Source organism: Homo sapiens, chromosome 1 (assembly GCF_000001405.40).
Source record: "Homo sapiens chromosome 1, GRCh38.p14 Primary Assembly".
Classification (NCBI taxonomy): Eukaryota; Metazoa; Chordata; class Mammalia; order Primates; family Hominidae; genus Homo; species Homo sapiens.
The window spans coordinates 115,428,701-115,433,934 of NC_000001.11; the positions used below are offsets into that span (position 1 = coordinate 115,428,701).

At 45.0% G+C, this 5,234-nt stretch overlaps 1 annotated feature.

The window, feature by feature from the left end:
- Positions 2,907 to 3,407: an enhancer, noted in NCBI's record as "H3K4me1 hESC enhancer chr1:115974228-115974728 (GRCh37/hg19 assembly coordinates)". NCBI's record gives its function as "activates a minimal SCP1, AML or CMV promoter by ChIP-STARR-seq in primed H9 embryonic stem cells {active_cell/tissue: H9 hESC(primed)}" and the evidence as "EXISTENCE:reporter gene assay evidence [ECO:0000049][PMID:30033119]".

Genomic DNA, 5,234 nt, shown 5'->3' on the forward strand with positions numbered 1-5,234 from the left:
AAATAAAACTCAATTTACAGGTGTGTGACAGAGACTGCTAGTTGTTCACCAAAATTCATCCTTTCATAGAAGCTGGAATATGGTTTCCTGGTTACCATACATTTCCCAGCTTGCCTTGCAGTTAGATGTGGCCAGTTCTTCCAATGGAATGTGAATGGGAGTCATATGTTTGGCCCGTAAAACCTCCCAAAAGAGTAGCTCTATCCTCATCCCCCTCTGACTAACTGTGACTCTATGCCCAAGATGACTTTGGGAGCCATGTGTTATGAAGAGCAGGGCCTCCATTGGCTGTGTCCCTGAGCTTTCCACCACCTGTGACCTGTAACATCCAGCCTCAGCCACTCAAGAACAAGCAATGTGTCTATTGTGTCTGAGCCCTTACTTTTGGAGCTATTTATTAGCCTCATATATCCCATCCTTTAAAAAGCAAATGTCTAACCTAACAAACCATTTTTATCTTACTTAACAGGAAGTTCTGAGGCAGTAGATGGTAGCATTTATTCAGGTGCTCAAAGATGCCATCAGGGACTAGGTTCTCCCTTTGTGCTCCAGCATCCTAGTGTACTGACTTCCTTCTCTCACTCTTGGCTCGTGGTCACAAGTAGGCTGTTGCAAGGAGATATGTTGGATATGGAAGTTATGTCTCCCTTCCATGCAAGAAGAAGGGGAAATGGGCAAAAGTCCCTCTTTATTCTTCATTAGCTGGAACAGATGAGTCACTTGCCCACAATGTGACGAAGTGGCCAAAAGGAATGAGATTAGCACAGGTCATTTAGACCAGTCATAAGTCATCCATTGGAGTTGGGTCTATACCCTTCTAATATCAAGTGATCTCTGCTTTTAATGGAATACTTTGGGGTTCAAGCAGAAGGAAAGTGTCATATGGGAGATGATTGTTGTCTTGGTCCATGCAGGTTGCTATAATAAAATACTGCAGACTGGGTAGCTTACAGGCAACAGAATTTCATTGCTCACAGTGCCTGCAGATTTGGTGTCTGGTGAGGGCCCACTTCCTTCATAGATGGACATCTGCTCACTGTGCCCTCACATGATGGAAGGGGCTAGCTAGTTCTCTGCAATATTTTTATAGGGGCACTCATTCCATTAGTGAAGTCTCTGCCTCATGATCACCCCCAAAGGCCCCACCCCTAATACCATTACCTTGGGGGTAAGATATCAACATATAATTTGGGAGGGGGTAGGGGCACAAACATTCAGAGTATAACAGTTGTTGTGGAAGCAAAGATCAAAATCTGCTGCACTCACACAATCAGCTGCTTGCTGGGCCTCTCTGACACACCAAGAATCATCCTTAACACTTTACTTTCTCTTACCTCCATATCCAGCAATCACCGAGGCTGATTCATTTCTGTCTTGTGACTATCCCTCTGTTCTGCCTTGTTTCTCCCCTCCCATTCTCTTTCTCCATTCTCTGCTATAGCTGTCTCCAGTCCACTCCACTCTCCATTTCTCACACAATCCCTGGAAGGATCCTGCAGAAACTCAAATTTCACCCCACAACTCCCCGGGCTTAAATTTTCCAGTAGCCACTCACTGGCTACAGACTAAACTCTTGTGTGTGAAATCTAAACCCCTTTATGATGTGACTTCTGTCTTTCATCCACTAACCAGCAAAACCACATTATTGTAAGTTACACACACACACATACACACTCCTTCCCTCTCTCTTTCTCTCTCTCTCCTCTCTCTTTCTCTCTTTATGCCTCTATTCCCTCTTTCCAGACACACTTTCTTTTCCTTTTTGTCTGTCCTACCTTAAAATTTAGTTCCGTCTTCAAAAACCCCCTTCCCTGCCTATTCCCCAGTTCTGACTTAGGCCCTCTCCTATGTCTGCCCTGCAAACTTGTCATGCTTCCACCAGCACAAATGTTCTAAGCTATTCCAGTTCCTTGTCTATATGCCTGTTCCCCATTACCCTGTGTTCTGCCTGAGAATAAGGGCCATATCTTGCTCACCTTTGCAAGCCCAGTGTCTCACCCACTGACTGCCACAAAGTAAATACTCTTGTAAATAAATATAAAATAAAATCCTAAATCAGCTCAACACGAGAAATTTGAAATGAGTCTTTAAAAAATCTTTTACATCGGGGATGGCCATAAAATTTCATTAATATGTTTCATCCAGATTAACCAATAAATGTCTCCTGTCATAGTGTGCATTGTTAGAAGATTAATTGGTTGTTAAGTTGGGTTTCCAAGGACACATGATGAGTCACCGACAGATGAGTAAGGCAGCACATACTCCTGGGATGAAAGAGCAAGGCGACAGCGTTGAGGTCTTGCACCATCTTCATGACAGCAACAGTGGCCAGCTATTGGATGCTTACATCGTGAAAGCACTTTGTGTACCTTTTTAATTGAATTCTCACTATAACCTCATGAAGTAGGTGTTTCTACTAGCTTCATTCCACATGTGAGAAGACTAAGGCCAGAGAGTATGAGTTTCTTACCTTCATACAGCCAAGAGGAAACAGAGCCAAGACTAAAACCCAGATTTTCTGATTCCAAAGCCTATACCTCTAACTGCTCTATTCTCTTAACTTACCCAGGATTGAGAACTCCTGGAGTGAGAGAGTCTCCAACATCTCAAAAGAGGTAGAGATAGAAGTAAAGAGAATAGTCCTGCTATGGAACCACAAAAATTAAACATTAAATTAAATTCAAAAGAAGAAGTAAAGAGAGAAAGATTGAGATTAGGATTTTAGGGAACACTGAAGTTTAGCCTGAGCATAATTAGATGTATTCTCCTTCATAAGAACCCCAAGCATGACTGAATGATGGTTATCAAGCGCGTGGAGATCTCTGTGTGTATGTGAGTGAAAATCTGAGGACTTTTCTGCCTGGGGTTTCAAAAAGTGCTTTTGAAAAGTGGTAATGTTTTAGCTCAGCGCTTCTCAGACTTGAATGTGCACAGGGATTACCTGAGATGGAGATCTTGTCAAAGTGCAGACTGAAGCCCGCTGCAGCAGAGCCCTTGGGAGGGCCCGTCACCACTGACCTGTACAGACCCTCCGCTATGTGTGCCATTCACCCTCCCATGGCGGTGCTTCGCGAGAATGTTGGCTGTCTCAAGTGTTCTGTGCCTGAAGGGAGAAGGGACCTGCGCTTCATAAGTGATGCTTAGTTTTCTCCATATCTCCCTCCTATAGAAAACAGAAATCTGTGCATTTACCACAGTCATTCTGTGAAATAAGTAAACCCTCAAACCTGATTAGCCCACCGACCTCCAATGCTGGCTATTACTTCACGCTTTCATCACCCAGGAAAGTCTCCTGAAATAGAGGGGCCTGATAGGTGTTCCCTGAGCTGAAAAGCAGCTGAGTGTGGCGTCAGGGGCATGAGGGCAGGACCAGACACCAATACTGGGCACCCCGGCTCCTGACCAGGGCTCCGCAGCCTCCTCACCCTTGTGCTCCTTGGTGCTCCAGGGCAGGGCTTTCCTGCCAGGTGCAGCTGGGCCACTGCTCTGCTGGATGCACTGTACTCAAGTCCCCGATCTGCTCCTAAGTGTCCCATCGAGGACAAGAGCCCTGCAGGCTTGCAGCAACGTCAGCCAGTTAATGCCACACCCTTCCCAGGCACTCCCTTCCACGTGGAGTCCTCCATGACCTCTGTGGACAGCACTGTTTTTTCCTCAGCTGAGGCTCTTCCTGCTATATCCTTCTTGCTTCTTGCAACATCCTCTCCTCCCACACACTCTGTTTCTATTTCCCTCCTTGAAATCTTTGTCCTGGTCTTTGCTTTTCCCTCGTACTTTTCAGTCATCCTTTCTCTAATGACACCAAAGACCGAGCCATCTGGCCACAGGTGACCTATAGTTTGGGGCATAATTTGAGGCTATGGAATTCAAACATTCAGAGATCACAGGACGTTTTGAGGGGATAAATACTGGATGAGTTGCACCAAGGAATGGAGGAAGGAAAGATATATTTATTGAGTTCCAACTGCCCACTAGTCACGGGTGCTAGTTGTTTTCACTTGCTTACCTCTGAGAGGGAAATGGAAGCCCCAGGAGGCACAGAGGCTCACCGTGGTGTGCAGGGATTGCCTGCGGCCTTTGCTTCAATAACAGTAAATTCATCCTCTACACTTTGGCATATACATATGTTCTTGAGGGCTTCTTGGCTTCATGGTGACACCAGCAACATGTACCTGCTCTAAGTCTTAGTTTCATCCTCTGCAAAATGGGGCAATAACAGTGTCTACTTCACATATTTAGCACAATATGTGGTTTATAATAAACACTTAATAGTACCAATTAGTACTATTGGTGCTGCTGCTGTGTTATCATCATTATAACTGGTGCTCAAGACAAAATCATTACTAATAGGCTCCATTTGTTCATTCAACAAGTATTTATCGAGCACCTGATATGGTTTGGCTCTATGTACTCACCCAAACTTCATCTTGAATTATAATCCTGTAGTTCCTACCTGTTGTGGGAGGGACCAAGTGGGAGATAATTTGAATCATGAGGGCGGTTTCCCCCATACTGTTCTCGTGGTAGTGAATAAGTCTCACAAGATCTGATGGTTTTATCAGGGGTTTCTGCTTTTGCATCTTCCTCATTTTCTCTTGCTGCCACCATGTAAGAAGTGCCTTTGGCCTCCTGCCATAATTCTGAGGCCTCCCCAGCCATGTGGAACTGTAAGTCCAACTAAACCTATTTTTCTTCCCAGTCTTGGGTATGCCTTTATCAGCAGTGAAAAAATGGACTAATACAGCACTGAACTCTGTGCCAGGCGTTATCTGATGTAGAACAGTTACACCAGTCATGGAACTTACATTCTAGTCAGTGGGGGGAGAATAAATAAAGAAACAGGGCAATTTCTGGCAGTGAAAGGCACTCCAAAGGAACTAAAATTTTAAAAAATGGGCCGAAGAGGCTGGGGCTTCCAGTAGAGAGGGCTGCTTTGACTTGGGGTCAGGGAAAGCATTTCCAAGAAGCATGAGTGAGCCAAGACATGAATGATGACAAGGAGCCTGGCAAGCCGAGACCTAGGAAAGCGCACTCCAGCAACGGGAACGGCCAGCGAAAGGTCCTGAGATGGGAATGCACTTAGCATGTCAAATATGTTTCCCTAATTCCAGAAACTTTCTTACATGAAGAAGGAAGAAGTAGTACTTACAGAGGCTACAGGCACAGACTCTGGAGCCAATACTGCCTGGTTTCATCTCCAGACTGTGACCTTGAGAACGTTATCCAACCCTCTA